Source organism: Homo sapiens, chromosome 6, assembly GCF_000001405.40.
Source record: "Homo sapiens chromosome 6, GRCh38.p14 Primary Assembly".
Taxonomy (NCBI): domain Eukaryota; kingdom Metazoa; phylum Chordata; class Mammalia; order Primates; family Hominidae; genus Homo; species Homo sapiens.
In genome coordinates this window covers 107,438,860-107,461,514 of record NC_000006.12, presented here as the reverse complement: position 1 = coordinate 107,461,514, position 22,655 = coordinate 107,438,860, and the positions used below count along the sequence as shown (strand labels likewise).

At 42.1% G+C, this 22,655-nt stretch overlaps 1 protein-coding gene across 15 annotated transcripts in view, besides 3 other annotated features; it reads left to right on the top strand.

Moving 5' to 3' along the window:
* Positions 989-1,910: an enhancer, noted in NCBI's record as "H3K27ac hESC enhancer chr6:107780809-107781730 (GRCh37/hg19 assembly coordinates)". NCBI's record gives its function as "activates a minimal SCP1, AML or CMV promoter by ChIP-STARR-seq in primed H9 embryonic stem cells {active_cell/tissue: H9 hESC(primed)}" and the evidence as "EXISTENCE:reporter gene assay evidence [ECO:0000049][PMID:30033119]".
* Positions 989-2,080: a biological region, named in NCBI's record as "H3K27ac hESC enhancer GRCh37_chr6:107780809-107781730".
* Positions 1,631-2,080: an enhancer, noted in NCBI's record as "active region_24903". NCBI's record gives its function as "activates an Ori minimal core promoter by ATAC-STARR-seq in GM12878 lymphoblastoid cells {active_cell/tissue: GM12878}" and the evidence as "EXISTENCE:reporter gene assay evidence [ECO:0000049][PMID:35858748]".
* The window catches only part of PDSS2 (decaprenyl diphosphate synthase subunit 2), a 307,003-nt gene continuing 286,298 nt past the window's right edge, over positions 1,951-22,655 (top strand). For 12 of the 15 annotated variants that reach the window (XM_047419101.1, XM_047419099.1, XM_047419097.1 and 9 more), the window contains exon 1: positions 1,951-2,525. In XM_047419101.1, coding sequence (XP_047275057.1) covers positions 2,230-2,525 — 296 coding nt within the window. In that variant the 5' untranslated portion in view covers positions 1,951-2,229. Of the gene's footprint in view, positions 2,526-16,127; positions 16,175-22,655 lie in introns of all 15 variants that reach the window. The other 3 variants (XM_011535960.4, XM_047419100.1, XM_047419098.1) reach the window with 2 other exon arrangements.

The window sequence follows — 22,655 nt, the reverse complement described above, 5'->3', positions numbered from 1 at the left end:
ACTTTTTGGAATGGTAAAGTATCTCACTCTCCATATTTATTTTCATCTCCTGGAATGGTAAAGTATCTCACTCTCCATATTTATTTTCATCTCCTAACAGACCTGAATTTTGTTGCCAAGAGTTTATCTCTTTCACAGGAATTATTTTCAAACTTCAGCTTACTTACTTTAAGGGCATAGACTGTGTTTGATACTTATAATCACAATTCATGTTAAATAAAATGTGCCCCTGAAAAGTTACACCTAAACTGAATTTTTGTAAATAAAAAATTTAAATCACAAGGAAAACTTGCCAAAGGGAGAGTATGAAGCTAAATCTTTTGTAGAGAAAATCATCTTGTTTTGCAAAGTGAACAACTACTCTTTAAGTCCCAATCTTTATTTGTAGCTCAAGAGGCTGGTACAGTATTATGCATGATGCTCATTTAAAAAATACTGACAGGCTGGGCATGGTAGCTGGTAGCTCACACCTGTAATCCCAGCACTTTGGGAAGCCGAAGTGGGCGGATCACTCGAGGTCAGGAGTTTGAGACCAGCCTGGTCAACATGGTGAAACCCAGTCTCTACTAAAAATACAAAAGTTAGCCGGGCGTGGTGGCAGGCGCCTGTAGTCCCAGCCACTTGGGAGGCTGAGGCACAAGAATTGCTTGAAACTGGGAGGCGGAGGTTGCAGTGAGCTGAAATCGCGCCGCTGTACTCCAGCTTGGGTGACAGAGCAAGACCCATCTCAAAAAATAAATAAAAAATAAAAATAAAATACCATGAATTTGGAAGGATTTTGAAAGTTTTAGAGAGTTTTATAAGCTATTTTTAAGAGTGTAAAAAATGGATAATATATCCTTTATTAAGAACGGTTAACACCTGTTTTAGGTGATAAGAAAGGAGGTAAGATCTTAGGCACATTTGAAAAAAAAATAGGTAGCATTACTTAAAAGATAATCATATTGACTGTTTCCTCTCAGCAATAAGGAGAAAAGAGTGGATGGGAGCCTATTATTTAGACGGTGTAATCTTTCGGTTAGAATACGGATTCTGAAACCAGATTGTCTGGGCTCACATCCCTGTCTAGTGTGGTCTTAGGGAACTTACGCGACTCGACTGCACCTTAGTTTCCTCATACAAAACACGGAGAATACTAATATTATCTACTTAATGAGGTTGTTCTGAGGATTAAATAAAGTAATACATGAACTAGTACGTGAAAAGCACTCCGGTCAGCGATAGTCTTCAATCCTGGAGTTGAGCTCCAGGCTAGGCATAAAGAGGAAGATAAGAGGCAGGGAGTAGGCAACGTTTCATTCTTCCTCTCCGCACCCGCGGGAAGGAGGCACCGCTGTTTCTCCCAAGGCTCAGCGAGGAGGCCGGTAATTCGAAGTTGGATCCGAGGACTTTCCTTGGGACCCCTTTCCGCCGCACCACGCTGCCTTATGTCTGGTTGGGCCCTGAGGACACGAGGGCTCAGCCCCACGCCCCGACTAGGCGTTCCACCACTGAGACGTGGCCCCAGCTCCAGGAGGCATGCAGCCCGAGAGGCCGCCTTCACGCCCGGCCACGGCCACTGCCACTGCCAGGGGCTGGTGGCGATAGCGACAAAAAGCTTCCGGGAGGAACTGGTGCCTCCGCCCGACGCCCTTCCTTGCGGGCAAGCCGGGGGCTGACCGTTGTTCGTGACACCAATACTTATGCATGCCACTCAGTGCTGGGCGCCGGGGACTCTAATGAATCCAGACTCGGCCCAGATACCGTGTGCAGAGGGACCACTCGCCGCCCACAACTGATCCCTGTCACTGACGACCTTTGCTGGCCCAGAGCGGCGGGGTGGGAGGAGCTGAACCTCCCAACCCGGGTTCACCTCCAAAGCACCGCCCCTGCGGGGGCGTTCTCGGGTACGCCGTAAAGTAGAGAGTATACTTAACAACCCGCCTCTGTCTTTACGGCAGGCCGCATTCCATGCCTCCAATATGGCGTCCTCCACATAGGCAGTGGCTGTGGTTTCTACCCCGGGTGGCCGGGGGCAGTGCTGAGCTGGGACTGTTGTTTGCCCAGCCTGGGCTGCAGAAAGCAGCAGTTAAAGTTCGTTTCTGGTCACTGCTCCAGGAAGCCACCTTACTCTGAGGGTCAAGAATTGCCGCTTCCTTTTAGTTACTGTAAGTTCCTCCTCTGCCCCTGGTTTGTTTCCCGCGGCACTTCTGGATACCCCCAGGTCCCAGACCCTTCCAGACTCAAACCATGAACTTTCGGCAGCTGCTGTTGCACTTGCCACGTTATCTTGGAGCCTCGGGTTCCCCGCGTCGCCTGTGGTGGTCCCCGTCCCTCGACACCATCTCCTCGGTGGGCTCTTGGCGTGGTCGGTCCTCCAAGTCCCCGGCCCACTGGAATCAGGTAGTGTCAGAGGCGGAGAAGATCGTGGGGTACCCCACGTCCTTCATGAGCCTTCGCTGCCTGCTGAGCGACGAGCTCAGCAACATCGCTATGCAGGTGCGGAAGCTGGTGGGCACTCAGCACCCTCTGCTTACCACAGCCAGGTGAGCTACCCCTCTCCCGCTGACACACTCGCACTCATTGGAATACTTTTTTTTCTGGCGGGCATACGCATTCTAGCTCTCTCAGACTGGCTCCTGATTTATCTCTTTTTAGTCCTTCCTTTTTACTCACTCCTCCTAGACATTCCGTGTTGTCTCTTCTCTAGTCCACTTAACGTTCTTGCTCAGCTGAGTGCATAAGTGGTTTTCTTTGAAACACTTGTATGCTTTCCTCGATTTTGCTTCTTAATTGTTGAGGATGAAGATGCCTCAGTGATTTGTGGAGAAATCGAGCGGAGATGTAGGTTTATTGAGTCACTTCCTAGAAATTTTTTTTTTTTTTAATGGGATAGATTAATTTTCTGTCCCGCACTGTTCAGGGGGTCACCTCCAGAAAGTAGGCAAGGAGAGAGAGAGAGGCTGAAGGTAGATAATTCTTTCCAACGAATGTCTTGGGGTTGAAGTAGGAATTTATCCCGTTAGTAGTCATTATCTTCTTGGGATGTTTATCACTTATGCTGTACTACTGCTGTGAAACCTGCCTTTAGGATTTATAAAAGTTTTTTTTTTTTTTTTTTTTGAGACGGAGTCTCGCTTTGTCGCCCAGGCGGGAGTAGCTGGGACTACAGGTGCCCGCCACCACGTCCGGCTAATTTTGTTTTTGTATTTTTAGTAGATACGGGGTTTCACCGTGTTAGCCAGGATCGTCTCAATCTCCTGACCTCGTGATCCACCCGCCTCGGCCTCCCAAAGTGCTGGGATTACAGGCGTGAGCCACCGTGCCCGGCCAAAAGTTTTTTTTTTTTCTTCCACTTAAACCCCACACCTGAATTGTAATTAGTTTAAACATACAGCGAAGTTACAAAAATAATATAGTTCAAAGAACACACTTGCATACTCTTTAATCAGATCCACCTGCTACGTAGATATGTCTATATATGTCAATATATACATTAAATACATATACACACAGATATATATACTATTCACGTGTATATATCTTTCTATATATTTTTTTCTGAATCATTTGATGGTAGATTGCATACATCACGATCCTTTTCCCCTAAATACTTCAGTATGTATTTCCTAAGCATAGCAGTAATCTCCTACGTAAGTACGCTACAGTTACCAACTTAGGTATATTTAATATTGATACAATACTTTTATTTAATCTACCATTTAATTTCAATTTTGTTAATTGGCCTAATAATGTTCTTTATAGCATTCTTTACCCTCCAGGACAGGATTCAGTCCAGGATCAAGTATTGCGTTTAGTTGTTATATCTCTTTCATCTTCTTCAATTAGGAACATTTTCATATCTCTTCTTGGCTTTTATGACTAGAGCACTGGTTCTCAACTGGGGCAATTTTCCCCCCCTGAGGACATTTGGCATGTATGGAGACATTTTTGGTTGTCACGAATGGAGGCACATTACTGGCATTTAGTGGATAGAGGCCAGGGATGCTACCCTTCAATTCCCAGGACAGACCCACAAGAAATAATTAGGTGCTGCAAAATGTCAGTAGTGCCAAGGTGGAGAAATCCAGGACTAAAAGGACCTTTTTCTATTGTTGTTTTTAAAAGTAAACTTCTATTTTGAAGTAGTTTTAGATTTACATGCAGTTGGAAGAAATAACACAAATCTAATATACACCTAACCCTGTTTCTCCCAATGGTAACATCTTTTGAAACGATGGTGTAATATCATAAGCAGGGTATTTATGTTGATACAGTTAAGATAAAGAACATATTCAGCACTATAAGGATTCCTCATGTTGCTTTTTTAGCCACACTCACTTCCCTTACCCACCCCTTGCTTTAATTTTTCGAGGCACCTGTCATTTTCTTACTACAAAAGTTATCAAATAGTAATAATAAAGTGATTTTATTCCTTGGCATCGTTCCCAGTTATCAGGAATGTCACCTTATGATTAGCTGGAATGTTAGTTTTCCAGAGATTCTAGATGATACACACTCAAAACACATACACATATGTTTAAAGCTTAATGAAACGAATAAGCCTACTATTACCCAACTTAAGAATTGTAACTTTACCAGTCCTGTTGAAGCTAAATGTGTACTCCTCAGTCCATCTCCCTGACTCCCACTAAACTGTTTTTAAACACTTTTCCTTTTCAAAATTACCAGGGGTCCTGGTGTGGTGTCTCATGTCTGTGATCCCAGCACTTTGGGAGGCAAAGTAGAAAGATTGCTTGAGCCCAGGAGTTCGAGACCAGCCTGGGCAACATAGCAAAACCCTATCTCTACAAAAAATAAAATAAATTAGTTGGGCGTGGGGATGCACATCTGTAGTCCCAGCTGCTTGGGAGGATTGCGATTGCTTGAGCTGGGAGGTCAAGGCTGTTGTGAGCCGTGATTGTGCCACTGCACACCTGTCTGGGCAAGAGACCCTGTCTCAAAATAAAATGAAATAAGTAAAATTACATTGTTATTTTTCTAAATAATAATGTTTCATTTTACTGGTTTCTTTGCAATGTACAAATATGATAGTTTATTGCATATGACCTTATGTGACTTCCTTTTTAAAATTCATGGTTTCTGAGATTCATCCATGTTGTGTGTTTAACTGTAGTTCATTAGGTTTTTACTGTGTGTGAAATTCTGTTGTGTGAATATACCATAGTCATCTTTTGTTTGTTTATTTATTTTCAGACAGAGTTTCACTCTTGTTGCCCAGGCTGGAGTGCAGTGGCACAGTCTCGGCTCACTGCAGCTTCCACCTCCCGGGTTCAAGTAATTCTCCTGCCTCAGCCCCCCAAGTACCTGGGATTATAGGCGCCCGCCACCATGCCTGGCTAATTTTTGTATTTTTAGTAGGGACAGGGTTTCACCATATTGGCCAGGCTAGTCTTGAACTCCTGACCTCGTGATCTGCCCACCTCAGCCTCCCAAAGTGCCGGGATTATAGGCGTGAGCCACCACGCCGGGCCTCACAGTCATCTTGTAATTAACATTTGGGTTGTTGCATTTGTTAATATTATGAAAAATGCTGTTATAAATATGTTTGCATATCTTTTGGTGTTCATGTCACGAGGATATAAAAACAAGAGCGTAATTGTTGGATGTGCACATGTTTATCTTTAGAATGCTTTCTAAAGTGAATGTACCAGTTTATACTCTCATAAACAACTTCTGAGTTCAGGTTACTCCTAGTTCTCATAACACTAGAACTAAGAGATTTCTTAAGTTTTTTTTTTTTTTTTTTTTTTTTTTTTTGAGACAGAGTCTCGCTCTATCGCCAGGCTGGAGTGCCCAGTGGCCTGATCTCGGCTCACTGCAACCTCTGACACCCTGGTTCAAGCAATTCTCCTGCCTCAGCCTCCCCAGTAACTGGGATTGCAGGCATGTGCCACCACGCCCAGCTAATTTTTGTATTTTTAGTAGAGAAGGGGTTTCACCATGTTGGCCACGATGGTCTCTAGCTCCTGCCCTCATGATCTGCCCACCTCCGCCTCCCAACGTATTGGAATTACAGGCATGAGCCACTGCGCCTGGCCCAGATTTCTTAGTTTTTGGTAATCCAGAAGGAGGTTTCTTTGTGTTTGATGGAAATGATAGTGTCAATGATAGGGGCTGTAGTATTGCATTATGAGTATTGTAGTCCATCATAAAGCACAGAAGTGAAAAGGGTGAAGCTAAAAAGAGCCTTATTAATGTGTATATTCTGAGAACCGTAGTTCGTCTACTTAGTTGCAATAGCATCAGATGAGGGTTTGGAGAAGATCTCTTCAGAGGCCACCAGAGGCATCCTAGATGAAAGTTTGTGAGACTAATGGTTCTGAAACTTTCCTAATTGTTGCCTAACCTGCCTTGTAGTACTATAGTACAGTGACAGAACTGGAAAGGCACAGAATAAGTAAGTTTTTGCAAAGTTGTCCTAGCATGTATGTGTTGCTGTATTTTGTAAGAAAAGAAAGAGCTAATCTGCATATAATTTTATTCTATTTACTACAATAATGTGTTGCAAATTATTTAAACAGCCTAAACTCATAGACAGCCAATGAAGAAACTTTTGGGGTGTGGATATGTATCTGTATATATTTGTATATACACTGTACACAGTTATTTCAGCAAAGGAGCAGGCATTTGATCCAGAGGTTAAGCAGGTAATGATTATTGTAAATTATAACTAAAATCAAGGATTAAGCAGCTGTATTTTTTTTGTTTTTTTATTTTTATTTTTTTGAGGCAGAGTCTTGCTCTGTTGCCCAGGCTGGAGCCATTTACTTTTCGAATAAAGCTACATGGTATGTTAGGGGTGAATCATGTCTAATAGCCCTAAAGTTTACGTGAATGGTGACTTTGTTAGCAAACAGCAGGAAAAAAAAAAAGGAAACCACCATAATTTGCTATTCACTGATCTCTTTACCTAAGACATCTTGTCAAGAAAAGGGAAAAACAGCCTAGATGTGACATATATTCTTTAACACTAAATGAGAAATGAGGTTAAAAATCTTGAGGTTTGGTGAGATAATGATTCTGTTACTAGGAATAGAGGAGCATTTAGCTCATTGTTACTCTTGTTCATCTAGATTTTCTAGGATCTCTCTGTTGTAAACTATAATTAGATAAATAATTAATTAAATGTTTATTGAAACTTATGAAGTGATATAAAGAAGTCTAGACCAGGTGTGGTGGTTCACACCTGCAATCCCAGAACTTTGGGAGGCCAAGGTAGGCAGATTGCTTGAGCTCAGGAGTTTGAGACCAACCTGGGCAACATGGTGAAACCCCATCTCTACAAAAAATACCAAAAATTATCCGGGTTGCTGGTGCATGCCTGCAGTCTTAGCTACATGGGAGGCTGAGCTGAGAGGATACCTTAAGCCCAGGAGGTCGAGGCTGCAGTAAGCTGTGGTCGTGCCACTGTGCTCCATCCTGGGCAATGGAGTGATACCTTGTCTCAAAAAAAAAAAAAAAAAAGAAGTCTGAAACATGGACCCTGTCCCTTGATGAGTTGACACAAAAGATATTTACAAATATCTAACAGAAGGAAACAAATGACTTGTGGTTAATGAGCTACCACATAGAGAGATGGCTTGGAATAGTAGAGAACCTTTCATGGAGAAATTGGGACTCCATTGAAGGATGGATGGATAAAAATTACATGAGTAATGTTTTAGGGTAGTAGTTATATAATATTTGTTTTTTTCCTTCATGATTCTTTCTTTTTTCCCCTTTCTTCTCCAGGCTACCATACCTCTACTAGGTATGGGGAAGACCTTAAAAGCAAGGATAAGCAGCATGAATAGAGCTAGAATAGTAAAAACTAGAACATTTTAGGATAACTAAAATGTTGGAAAAAGAAAGCATGGGTTGAGGAATCATTCCACCTACTGTTAAATCTTACTATATAGCTGCATTAATCAAAACACTGCGGTATTGGCAGAGGAACAGACAGATCAATGGAACAGAATAGAGAACCCAGAAATAGATTAACACAAATATGCCCAACTGATTTTTAACAAAAGTGCAAAAACAATTCAATGGAGGGAGGATAGTTTTTTTTTTTCTTTCTCTAAAAATAGGGCTGGAACAATTGAACATCATAGGCAAAAAAATGAACCTTGACCTAAACCTCACACAGTATTTTTTAAAAATCAATGTAAAATGGATTATTTGTGAAATCAATGTCCACTTAAAATGGATTTAAACATGAAATGTTAAACTATAAAACTTTCAGAAGAAAACATAGGATAATATCACGGCCGGGTGCAGTGGCTCATGCCTGAATTCCCAGCACTTTGGGAGGCTAAGGTGGGTGGATCACCTTAGGTCAGGAGTTTGAGATGAGAATCGCTCAAACCCAGGAGGTGGAGGTTGCAGTGAGCCGAGACTGCACCACTGCACTCCAGCTTGGGCGACAGAGCAAGACTCAGTCTCAAAAAAAAAAGAAAACATAGGATAACATCTTCAGGACCTAGGGCTAGGTAAGCAGTTCTTAGACATGACACCAAAAAATTCATAAAAGAAAACAATAATTGGACTCCATAAAAGTTCAAAACTGGCCAGGCGTGGTGGCTCACGCCTGTAATCCCAGCATTTTGGGAGGCCGAGGCGGGCAGATCACAAGGTCAGGAGTTCGATACCAGCCTGACCAACATGGTGAAACCCCATCTCTACTAGAAATACAAAAATTAGCTGGGCGTGGTGATGTGCACCTGTAATCCCAGCTACTCAGGAGGCTGAGGCAGGAGAATCGCTTGAACTTGGGAGGCGGAGGTTGCAGTGAGCCGAGATTGCGCCACAGCAAGCCAGCCTGGGAGACAGAGTGAGACTCTGTCTCAAGAAAAAAAAAAAAGTTTGAAACTTAGCTCTGTGAAAGACCCTGTAAAGAGGGTGAAAAGTTTAGCCACAGACTGGGAGAAAATATTTGCAAATCACATATTCAAAGAAGGGCTTGTATCCAGGTTATGTAAAGAAATCTCTGAACTCAAGAGGTTGGGTGCGGTGGCTCATGCCTGTAATCCCAGAACTTTGGGAGGCCGAGGCAGGTGGATCACTTGAGGCTAGGAGTTTGAGGCCAGCCTGGCTAACATGGTGAAACCCTGTCTCTACTAAAAATACAAAAATTAGCCGGTGTGGTGGTGGGTGCCTGTAGTTCAAGCTACACCAGAGGCTTAGGCAGGAGAATCACTTGAATCTGGGAGGCAGAGGTTGCAGTGAGATCGCGGCACTGCACTCCAGCCTGGGCAACAGAGTGACACTCTGTTGCAAAAAAAAAAAGAACTCTCTAAACTCAAGAAAGCAAACAATACAATTAGAAAATAGGGGAAAAAGCTTGTGCGGTGGTGCATGCCTGTAATCCCAGCTACTAGGGAAACAGAGGCAGGAGGCTTCCTTGAACCCAAGAGTTTGACTTCAAGGCTGCAGTGAGCTATGATTGTACCACTGCACTCTAGCCTTGGCAACAGAGCAAGACTTTGTCACTTAAAAAACAAAAAAGAAGAAGAAAGAAAAGAAAATGGGCTAAAAGAAAAACCTATAAAGGTAGCAAGTAAGCATATGAAAAGATGTTCAACATTATTAGCCTTTTGGGAAATGCAAATTAAAATCACAATGGGATGTTGAGGTGATCGGGCCCAACACCAGGCCCTGAGGGCTACAAAGTCTGGCGGGGTCAAAGGAATGAGAAAAGACAAGTTAAGAGTTCATAAGGTGTGTCCAGAGGGCCAGCGCTAGATTGGAGGCTGCAAAGGCCCCGAGCTCTGGGAACCCGCCCTATTTATTGGTGATCAAACAAAGAAGCAGGTGGTGAGGACATGAGGGTAAACAGGTGAGGGCATGAGGAGGTGAGAGTAGAAAGGTAGTGGTGCATTAAGTGTAGCTGTGACGGTTTAGCACTTCCTTTGACCCATATAGAATATGCTCTGCTGCTTGAGATAATGGAGGGCATGTTTACAAGAAAGAAGCAAGGAACCAACAAGTCTGTGCACATTCCAGAGGCTACGAGGGGTTTATGCCCTGAGCCCTGGATTCCATCAAAGCCACAAGGGGTTTTATGCCCTGGGCTTAGATTTGTGGTGCGGCAGTGTAGCCTTCCACCCTTTGGCACAGAGCTTGGTGTTCCAAAGGCCACGAGGGGTTTCAGACCCTGGATCCCGGACATCTTCCAAGACTCTTTTACATTATGACAGACAAGCCAGTCCTGCCTCAGCTCTTCTACCAACAATGGGATACTACTATGTACCAATTAGAATGGCTAAAATAAAAAATATAATATGTAATTCTAGTAACGATGCAGATAAACTAGATTTCTCATGCATTGCTGATGGGAATGTAAAATGGTTCGGCCCCTCTGGAAAACAGCATAACAATTTCTTATAAAATTAAACATACGACTGGGCACAGTGGCTCACGCCTGTAATCCCAGCACTTTGGGAGGCTGAGGCAGGCAGATCACTTGAGTCCAGGATTTCAAGACCAGCCTGGGCAATGTGGCAAAATGCTGTCTCTACAAAATATATAAAAAATTAGTTGGGTGTGGTGGTGCACACCTGTGGTCCCAGCTACTTGGGAGGTTGAGGTAAGAGGATCACTTGAGCGCGGAAGTTGGAGGCTGCAGTGAGCCATGATCGTGCCATTGCACTTCAGCGTGGGTGACAGAGTCAGTCCCTGTCTCAATCAATCAGTTGATTGATCAATCAGTTTAAACATACACTTACCATGTAGCCCAGCAATCAGACTCCTGAGCATTTATTCCAGAGAAATAAAAACTTATGTCCATACCAAAACCTATACACAAATGTTTGTGGCAGTCTTATTTGTAATAGGCTGCCATAACCTATAGAATTATAGGTTGAAAATCCTACATATATGTATTTCTCCTTTGCAGTTAAGTTTCTTGTATTAATGCCATTTTCATTCCACAGCTTGGATAGGGCTGTGTGTTCTTTCTAGAGGAAAGATCCTTTCTTTAGAATGATGTTCCATAATTTCACCTTGATGGTTTTTGGAGTGGAGAATGAAGGCCTTCTTAACTTAATCCTATATCCTTTATTTTGGGATGATTTTGTGTGTTATTTCTTCAGTATCATGGTTCCCACCATTTTTCTCTCTCATGTTGGAATTTTGTAGTTGGTCATTGTGAATTGATTCCTCAACATTCTTCCCCCTACATTCATAGTTTTCCTTTCTTTAATTTATCCTCTACATATATACTGTTTGTTATACTGTTTTAATTCTGTCTTTAATTATTTCCCAACTGGAAACAACCCACATATCCTAGTGAGTGGTTGAACAAACTGTGGTCCATACATAACAACGAAATGCTACCCAACAATAAAAAGAAATGAACCACTGATACAACAACTTGGGTGAATCTCAGATGAATTATTCTGAGTGAAAAAAGTCAATCTCATTCATCAAAAAATTAAAAATAGAATTACCATATGACCCAACAATTCTGCTTCTGGGTGTGTTTCCAAAAGAATTGAAAGCAGTGTCTCAAAGAGATATTTGTATACCCATGTTCATAGCAGCAGTATTCACAGTAGCCAAGAGGTAGAAGCAACCCAGTTGTCCATTGATGGTTGATAGGATTAACAAAATGTGGTATATATTACCATGGAATATTATTCAGCCTTAAAAAACAAGGAGGGACCAGGCACAGTGGCTCATGCCTGTAATCCCAACACTTTGGGAAGCTGAGGTGGGAGGATCACTTGAGGCCAGGAGTTTGAGACCAGCTTGGGCAACACAGTGAGACCCCATCTCTATAAAAAAATAAATTAACTAGACATGGTGGCTCCTAAAAATAAGTTGGCTAGACAGCTGCTCTAGAGGCCAAAGTGGGAGGATCGTTTGAGCCCACGTGTTTGAGGTTGCACACGTGTCATAATATGGATGAACCTGGAGGACATTATGCTGAGTGAAATATGGAGGACATTATGCTAAGTGAAATAAGCCAGTCACAAAAGGACAAATACTGTGTGATTCCACTTATATAAAGTGTCTAGAGTAGTCAAATTTAGAGAAATGGTGTGTAGAAACAGAAAGGTGGTCTCCAGGGACTGGAAGAAGGGGGAAATGGAGAGTTGTTTAATAGTTATAGGATTTCAGTTTTGCAAGATAAAAAGTTCTGGAGATTGGTTATACAACACTGTGAATACACTTAATGCTACTGAGCTGTACACTTAAAATGGTTAAGATGGTAAATTTTATGTAAATTTTACCCAATTTTTTAAAAAGTCTATCTCAAAAGTTTATATATTGTCTGATTCCATTTATATAACATTTATATCATTTTCAAAATGACAAAACTGTGGAGATGGAGAATAGTAAGTGTTTTCTGGAGTCAGGGACAATGTGAGGAATAGGGAGGAGTGTAAATACAAAGAGGAATATTGTGGTAGAACAGTTGGGAGTCTTGTGGTGGTGAGTGTGTGAATCTATACATGGGATAAAGTTGCTGATACAGTTTGGCTGTGTCCCCACCCAAATCTCCTCTTGAATTGTAATCCCCATAATCCCCACGTGGGAGGGACTCAGTGGGTGGTAATTGAATCATGGGGGTAGTTTTCTCCAGGCTGTTTTCATGATAGTGAGTAACTTCTCACAAGAGCTGATGGTTTTATAAGCATCTCACATTTCCCCTGCTGGCACTCATTCTCTCTCCTGGTGCCCTGTGAAGAGGCACCTTCTGCCAAGATGTGAAACTCTGGGTCAATTAAACCTCTTTTCTTTATAAGTTACCCAGTCTGGGGCATCTCCTTAGAGCAATGTGAGAACAGACTAATTGGTACCGTAGAGAGTGGGGTGCTGCTATAAAGATATCTGAAAATGTGGAAGCGACTTTGCAGCTGGGTAACAGGCAGAGGTTGGAACAGTTGGGAGGGCTCAGAAGAAGACATGGGAAAGATGTGGGAAAGTTTGGAACTTCCTAGAGACTTGTTGAATGGCTTTGACAAAATGCTGATAGTGATATGGACAATGAAATCCAGGCTGAGGTGGTCTTAGATGGAAATGAGAAACTTGTTGGGAACTGGAGTAAAGGTCACTCTTGCTATGCTTTAGCAAAGAGATTGGCAGCTTTTTGCCCTTGCCCTAGAGAACTGTGGAACTTTGAACTTGAGAGAGATGATTTAGGGTATCTAGTGGAAGAAATTTTTAAGCAGCAGAGCATTCAAGAGGTGACAGAACATAAAAGTTTAGAAAATTTGCAACCCTGACATTGTAATAGAAAAGAAAAACTCATTTTCTGAGGAGAAATTCAAGCTGGCTGCACAAATTTGCATAAGTAATGAGGAGCCAAATGCTAATTGCCAAGACAATGGGGAAAATGTCTCCAGGATGTGTCAGAGACCTTCTTGGCAGCCCCTCCCATCATAGACCTAGAGGCCTATGAGAGAAAAATGGTTTCCTGGGCCAGGTCCAGCCCCCCCTGCTGTATGCAGCTTCTGGACTTGGTGCCCTGCATCTCAGCAGCTTCAGCAATGGCTAAAAGGGGCCAAGGTACAGCTCAGGCTGTTGCTTCAGAGGGTGCAAGCCCCAAGCCTTGGCAGCTTCCATGTGGTATTGAGCTTGAGATGTGTAGAAGACAATAATTGAGGTTTGGAAATCTCTGCCTAGATTTCAGAGGAAGTATGGAAATTCCTGGATGTCCAGGCAGAAGTCTGCTGCAGAGGTGGAGCCCTCATGGAGAACCTCTGCTAGGGCAGTGCGGAAGGGAAGTGTAGGGTTGGAGCCCCCACACAGAGTTCCCACTGGGGTACTGCCTAGTGGAACTGTGAGAAGAGAGCAAACATCCTTCAGACCCCAGAATGGTAGATCCACGTACAGCTTGCACCATGTGTCTGGAAAAGCCTCAGACACTCAATGCCAGCTGTGAAAGCAGCCAGGAGAGGGGCTGTTCCCTGCAAAGCCACAGGGGCAGAGTTTCCCAAGACTGTGGGAGCCCACCTCTTGTAATAGCGTGACATGGATGTGAGACATGGAATCAAAGGAGATCATTTTGGAACTTTTAAGGTTTAATGACTGCCCTGTTGGATTCCGGACTTGATGTGGGGCCTGTATCCCCTTTGTTTTGGCCAGTTTCTCCCATTTGGAACAGATGTATTTACCCAGTGCCTGTAGCCCCAGAGAGATGTGTCTAGGTAGTAATGCACTTGCTTTTGATTTTTTTTTGTTTTGCTTTTTGACGGATTCTCACTCTGTCGCCCAGGCTGGAGTGCAGTGGTGCCATCTCGGCTCACTGCAAGCTCTGCCTCCTGGGTTCACGCCATTCTCCTGCCTCAGCCTCCTGAGTAGCTGGGACTACAGGCGCCCACCACCATGCCTGGCTAATTTTTTTTTGTATTTTTAATAGAGATGGGGTTTCACCGTGTTAGCCAGGATGGTCTCGATCTCCTGACCTCGTGATCCGCCTGTCTCAGCCTCCCAAAGTGCTGGGATTACAGGCGTGAGCCACTGCGCCCGGCCGCTTTTGATTTTATAGGCTCATAGGTAGAAGGGACTTGCCTTGTGTCACATGAAACTTTGGACTTGGACTTTTGGGTTAATGCTGGAATGAGTTAAGACTTTGGGGGACTTTTGGAAGGGCATCATGACTGCATTTTGAAATGTGAGCACACGAGATTTGGGAGGGGCCAGGGTCAGAATGTCCTCACCTAAATCTCATCTTGAACTGTAATCCCCATAATTCCCATGTGTCATGGGAGGGAACTGGTGGGAGATAATTTAATCATTGGGGCTGTTCTCATGATAGTGAGTGAGTTCTCATGAGATCTGATGGTTTTATAAACATCTGGCATTTCCCCTACTGGCACTCATTCTCTCTTCTGCTGGCCTGTGAAGAGGTGCTTTTGGCCATGATTGTAAGTTTCCTGAGGCCTCCCCAGCCATGTAGAACTGTGAGTCAATTAAGCCTCTTTTCTTTATGAATTACCCAGTCTTGGGTATTTCCTTATAGCAATGTGAGTGCAGACTAATACAGTTGCAAAGAACTCTATACACCTACACACAAAATAAATGCAGGTTAAAAGATGCTGAAAATGGAATAAGGTCTGTAGTTAACAATCTATCAATATCAATTTTTTGGTTTTAGTGTTCTATAGCTATTACATGATTTCACCATTGGGTGAAGGGTACCTGGGACTCTGTAGTGTTTCTGCAACTTTGTGTTTGTCTGTAATTATTTCTTTTTTTTCTTTTTTTTTTAGATGGAGTCTTGCTTCGTTGCCAGGCTGGAGTGCAGTGGTGCAATCTTGACTCACTGCAACCTCCACCTCCTGGGTTCAAGCAATTCTCCTGCCTCAGCCTCCCGAGTAGCTGGGACTACAGGTGTGCACCACCACGCCCAGCTAACTTTTGTATTTTTAGTAGAGATGGGGTTTCACCATGTTGGCCCAGATGGTCTCGATCTCTTGACCTTGTGATCTGCCCGCCTCGGCCTCTCAAAGTGCTGGGATTACAGGCATGAGCCACCGCGCCTGGCCAATTATTTCTTATTTTGAAAAGCCTTAAAAAAAGCACTTCAAATCCAGAGAGAAAGAGAGAGAGCATGCACGAGAGAGAGAGAAACAGACAGACAGAGACAGAGAGAGAAAGAGAAAGAAGACCTGGGAGACAGATGTGTGTGTTGTAGTTTCATCTCTGTCAGTACTTAACCGTGTGATCCCCAGGCAAGTCATTTTATCTCTCTGGGCTTTAGTTTCCTAAGCAATGAAGTAAGGAGTTTGACTAGATTATTTCCAATAATGTTGCCAATTCCGGACTAGCATGGAAATTAATATTGTATCTGAATGTGGCAGGTAAGGAAGCCGTCGTCAGTTCTCAAGCAGAGAATAAACCAGGTTGAATACAATGTAATAGTTGAAGTCTGTAATCCTTTTTCCACAATTTAAAATCTGAAAAGCTCAGAAAACAGAATTTTTTTAGACTTACACATCTGACCTGGATTGATGTGAGGCTATTTATAGTCTTTATTTATCCCATTTAATATGAATATTTATGCATTTGATGCAGAAATATTAAGGCTTTTGATTACAGGGTGTTGCCCAGTTCCTGCTGCAGTGTTGGGTAAAATGCACCTTCCTAAAATCAGAAAAATTTTGGATTCTGAAAGACATTTGGTTTGGTTTCAGGGACTTTGGATGAGGGATAGTGGACTTGTCCAAGCTGGATGGCCCAGGTATGTGACATAGATTGGTAGGATGGAATAAACTGAAGGTAACAACATGCATCAACTGTCCCCTTCCTCTCAATACAACCTCTACCCAATGGTTTTATTACTGTTTCCCTAACTAAATGTAATTATCCACTTGTGCAATATATATATATATAAAATATGTAATTTATAAAAAATTATATATAAATTTTCGTTACTTAAATTTCTGTATAAATCACTAAAATTTAAGTACTTTTAGTTGTTTCACAGGCAGTGACCAATACTTTTCCAATACAGAATTGGTTAGACTTTTGTTGTTTCTAAAACATAGATGATTCTTTGAGTAGTAAGGCTTTATTTATTTTCATTGATTACTCTTGACAGATTTGGCTTTTAGGATTAAATTTTTGTTTAAATACTCCTTTTGCTTTTGCCTTCAAAAAACTATGCTCTTGATTTCAGATTTAAATGGATAGGATTAATTTAGTATGCAGCTATTGGAGACGAATTATGACATTTAGTCTCTTCTCTTAGGGTGTGTTGATTCCTTTGTAGGGACTTTATGTTCCTGAGTTCACTACTGTTATTTGGCTACCTAAAAAACCTCATTAGTCCTTTCTGCATGGTAAAATTCTTCAGAGCTCTTTGAATTTATTATTAGAAATTTAATTTTAGTCTCTTCCATGTTTATGAAAGACCCTTTCTAGATTCAGTTCTGTAATTACTGACTGAAAACCTACATTACTTATGAAGAACTTTTTCATGGATGACTAGGAGAAAATTATAAATTTTAATTCATTCCACAAATATTTGAGGTGCTCTGGGCATGGATGTACAAACAAGAATAAGACCCAGTTGCTGCCGTCCAGGAATTTAGGAGAGACAGTATAGTAATCATGAGCTCTGGAATCAGACTGTTTGGGTTCACATCCTGCCTCTACCACTGTCAAGCTATGAGCTCTTAGGCAATTTATCTAACTTCTCTGTGCCTTAGTTTCTTCATCTGTAAATCAAGGATAGTAATAGAACCTGGTGGCTAGGTGCAGTGGCTCAAACCTGTAATCCCAGCACTTTGGGAGGCTAAGGTGAAAGGATTGCTGAAGCTCAGGAGTTCAAGACCTGCCTGGGCAACACAGTGGGATCCCATCTATATAAAAAAAAAATTAAAAAGTAGCTGGGTGTGGTGGTGTGTGCCTGTGGTCCCAGCTACTTGGAAGGCTGAAGAGAGAGGATCACTTGAGCCTGGGAGTTGAGACTGCAGTGAGCCGTGATTGTTCCACTGCACTCCAGCCTGGGCGACAGAGTGAGATCTTATCTCAAAAATAAATAAATAATAGTAGCTATGTCATAGAGTTTTATGAAGATTGAATGATTTAATATGGGTAAAGTGCTTAGAACAGTACCTGGCGCATAGCAAGTACCCAAATATTAGCGATTATCATTATTATTAGAAATTCATTTTCGTGGGGAGACATACACAGTACCTTGAGATAAATGCCGTAGTGAACAATATGCTGTAGAAACATAGAGGGAGAAAAAGATCTCTCTCCCTAGAGAAAATGGAAGACTACCAGAGATGAAGTAGGATATGAGTCAGGTCATGTGGGATGAAAAAGAGATGACTGAGGCAGGAAAAGAATTTAAGACATAATAAATTGCTCAGCAAAGTCTAGGAAAAATTGTAGTGTGGGGTAGACTGCACCACACGGTGGGATGGGATGAGGCAAAAGAAATAGGCTAGAAATATCTGCTTCTGCCATGATAGAGTATCTGATGCTAAACTTGCCCTTCCACTGTAAACAAACAGAAAACTGGACAAGATACATGAACCAACTATACATTTTTTTTATTGCTGAAAGATATTCCATTGAATGGATATAGAGCAATTTGTTTATTCAGCGTAAATGAATATATAGGTTGCTTCTGTTTTTGGCTACTGTGAATAAAGCTTCTATGAATGAAATAAAATGTATTTAAAAAGCAAAGGAAAGGTTGTGGCCAGATTTTGAGTTTTGTATGTCATGTTAAGATGATCTAATTTTATCCTGAGGTCAGTGGAGATCATAAAGGTTAAGTACTAGACAGACCTAAGCAGATGTGCTTTTTTGAAAGCTGACTTTGGCGGCTGTGGTGGTTGTGAATTGCAGAAAAGAAAAGCTAGAGGCAGGAAAGCCTGGCAGAAGACTGCTATGGTTTATTCATTTCTTCTTTCAGCAGCTAGTTAAGTGTGTTCTCTAATGGCCAAGTACTATGCTTGTTAGTCAGGGAAACAACACCAGACACTGACCCACATCCCTCCTCTCCCTTCCCCTCCCCAGGATTTATATTCAAATAAGGGAAATAGACATGTAAAACACAAAGTGCAATAAATTGTTACATATGTTAGGATAAAAGTGTTTCCAAATAAAATGAAGACATAAACAATAGAGTGGCAAAAGGTCTCAACGAGATGATTTAAACATTGAAAATTGAGATGTTCTTGCGGATAGAGGAATGATGATGGTGAGTTATAAACTTAGGCAGTAGTGATGGAGATGAAGTGGAAAGACTGGATTCAAGCTACATTTGTGAAGTGAGGTTGGTAATTGCAGACTTGATAATTGTGAGAGTGAAAGAACAGAAGAAGAATAAGCTGAGCAATTGAGTATGTTGAGATACTAGCAGAAGTATGTTGGGTGTAGAGTGTAGGGGGAAATTTTGTAGACCTGTTGAACGTGAAGTATTTGCAGCAAGTGGAAATGTCCAAACTGAAGTTAGGAATGGGTTAGGTCCTCCTACAGGAGGTAAACACTAAGGCTAGAGTTGGAAGTACTCAATACAGGTGAGATTTAAAGCCATAGGGGTTTCTCATCTCTCAGGGAGGAAGTATAGAATTATCTCAGCATTGTTTAGTTGCAAGCATAGAAATTGCTTTTGTTTTTTGTTTTTTGTTTTTTTGTTTTTGTTTTGAGATGGAGTCTTGCTCTGTTGCCCAGGCTGGAGTGCAGTGGTGTGATCTCAGCTCAGTGCGACCTCTGCCTCCTGGATTCGAGTGATTCTCCTGCCTCAGCCTCCCGAGTAGCTGGGATTATAGGCATGTGCCACCATGCCTGGCTAATTTTTGTATTTTTAGTAGAGATAGGGTTTTACCATGTTGGTCAGGCTGGTCTTGAACTCCTGATCTCAGGTGACCTGCCTGCTTTGGCCTCCCAAAGTGTTGGGATTACAGGTGTGAGCCACCGCGCCTAGCCAAGAAATTGATTTTGGATTACTTAGGCAAGGAGGAGCTAATCAGGCCTTAGGAAGAATGAGAACTGGGGACGCTCTAGGGCAGTCAGTAGCAGGAATTTACAGACAGTTTCTCTAGACTACAGCACTGCTGTCAGGAAGTTTTGGCTCAGGCTGCCTTTTATCCTTGGATGGCTGCTCAAGATTCAAAGTCCTGTGAGAGGGGGTCTGTTTGGTCTTTATTGCCAAATAGATCATTTCCTTCATGGGTGAATGGTGTACTAGGTTTGAGCCTGCTTGAGTGTTGGCCACCCCTGTGGTCAGCTGGGGAGTAAGCTACTGTATTTCATGCCTGCTTAGACCTCACAGAATAAGGGAAAAGAATTTCCCTAATTGAAAAGTGAAATGTGTTACAGGCCAAAAGGGGAATGGATTCTGAGCAGGGCACCCTGTCCTTGAATTTACTGCCTTCTGCCCCCTTTCTTACTGTATAGATAATTTAAAAGAATTCCCACCTTAAATGAGGAAATTAGTCATTCTGACCACCTCCACAAAAAAGATAACTTATTGTCATGTCTAGGACCTCTGAGTTGTGTTCAGTCTTCTAATTTTGTGACCTAATTCTTACATTCTTCAACCTGTGGGCTAAATGGTAAATTTATCCACTACCATCACACTTATATGTAGTGCAGAGGAAATAATGAGGTAGAGGAAACACCAAAAAACCGTGGACACGCTATGGCAGAGACTGGCGGCAGCCTTTCTCAATTTTCATCTTCCCCTTCCACTTTGGTGAGAGAACCCTGAATTTATTCAGGTATAAGAGATTACATTTCTTAGCCTCTCTTACTGCTGGGTGTGACTGTGTGACTAATTTCTGGCCAAAAGAAATGTTGGTAGAAGCATTTGAATTTCTAGAAAGCCTCCTCAAAGAGAGGAGTCTACCCTTCATTCTCCCTTCTTTTATCTTGCTGCTTTGAGTGCTGATGTAGTGGCTGGAGCTCTAGAAGCCATTTTTGAGTGACACATTTTATGGATGGTGGGCTGGAGAGTAAGAAAGAACATAATAGCCTTGTGGAATTTCCAACACAGTTTTGTATTGCCCATTTCCAGACTTCTTTTTACATGAGAAAGAATACACTTCTTACTGCTTAAAATGTTACTTTGATTTTCATGTCACAATCACTAATACCAAATAAAGAATTTAGATTATGACCATAACTTCAGCTGGGTGGGGTCCTTTGCCTGATGGGTTGTTACACCTTCTTCATCCTAAGCCATTGGTGGCCCAGCTTAGATAGACATGAAATAGTCTTTCATTATAGTTTATTATTATGCACTCCAGAGCATTTCTTACATTCTACCTGTACTCATTCTCTTCCTCCTGTATACAGTATTCAGATACTCTCTTTGTAGCGGATATATCCCTCTATTTAAGCCTCTCATTTGCTTTTTCTGGCATGATGAGCCAGGTAGCAATCTCAGCTTCCAGCTCAAAGGCACCATTTTTATATCTCCTGGTGGAAGCATTCTTTCCCTGGGCACAAAACCTTTAGTAGCTCCCTGTCTTAGAGGAAGGAAACAATTTTGAGAGGTCATTAGCTGGAGTTGTGAGAAGTGCCATGTCCAGTACCCAGTTGGAAAAGTGCTGGTTTGGCTCATAAGCTGTGTTCTATAGCAATAGATCCTAGCTGGAACCTTGTCTATGTTGTCATAGGCTATTTCACCATTGTGTGAGCCTGCTGCTTCTGAAAGATGCAAAGAGTACATGTTAAGATCAAAGAAGCCCTTGGTTACCAGCCAGTTGCCTCACTTTTGTTGGGAAGTGATTTTATTCATCAGTGGCACTAAGTGGAATATCACACTGGCACACAGGTAAGTCCACAGATGGTAGTGTTGGTAGCAACATGACAGGTAAATCACATCCAAATACAGAATAAATATCTCTTCTGAAAAGGACAAATTACTAACCTCTCTAGGATGAAAAGGGTCACTGGAGTCCATCCCTTATGAGGTAGATGGCTCAACTGGAGGAGTGTACCATATAGGGACACTTAGCAGTGAGACCACCAGCTCAGCCTTGGTGGGAGGAAATCCCTGTTGTTGAGCACATGTATAGCCACTGTCCCTGTCAAAACACTAACATTTAGCCAAGTACTGAATTGACTAGGCAAGGAAAATGGCTCACTCTTTCAGTAACAGTCACCTTGTCCATATACTTATTAGTACTCTCTTCTTGGTGGTAATTTTGCTGAGCAGTCACATGGAGCACAGATATTCTCAGGTGCTGGTCCCATTCCCAAAAATGTATCTAAATATTCCTTTCCCAAACTACCTTGTCACTAGTCATCCAAATATGCTCCTCCCCAGTCCTGCTTATTCAGCCAGTCTATTGGACATGCCAGAAATTACCATGTAGATACTGACCTCAGGCCACATATTTTCAAGTAAAGTGAACAATGATACGTACCACTGTAAGTGCTTCTCACAAGGAGGCTTTCTCCTCTCAGCTGATTCTCAGGATCACCCCTGAATGGAGTTGTTATGCAACAGTGGTACACTTGCAGCTGTAACATAATGCTCAGGTCTTTCTTTAACCAGGGAGAGGCATTTTCCCCTCTGCAAGCTTGCTGGTCATAGGGCACTTCTCATGAAGCCATAGGTGTAGTTTGAGGGAGAGGTGGCATGTAGCAGGAATATGGTTGTAAGGAATGTAAGTGATCTGATATGCAATTTAATTGTGCCTTCACAGCTCATTTTGGGCTTGCTGGAATTTAGAGTTAAATGCATCCAATAACAACTCATGATGGACAGCTAGGTTGCATGGTCACTTAATGTTCTATTCTGTTTTCACTGGATCCTAGTAGCAAGCCAGGAGCTGTTTTTCAGAAAGAAATCATTACTTCAGTTGCTTGCTGAAATTGCCATGGCCTTGTTTCAATACCTGTATTCATTGCAGCTTTTCCAGATTAAATACAACATCATTTTAGGTGGACACATCTTTTCAATTCTCTGTACAGGAAGAAAGTGGAGGGAGGAGGGCAGTATGCCTGCTTGCAGTATGTCTTTGTCTCATAATAACATTTCACTATTCCTTTATAAATTTTAGAAAACTCACCCCTTAGAAATGCAATAATTTTCATAAGGAAAGGGAATTTGATCATCTTCCACTTCATACCTCTTACCATAATAGTCCTTCCTTCTGAACCAGGGAGTCATTGTGGGCAGTATTTGGTAACATCTGAAAACTAGGTGTGCTTGGGCTTTGTCATGATGACTGTTGTGAGAAGAGGTTGAA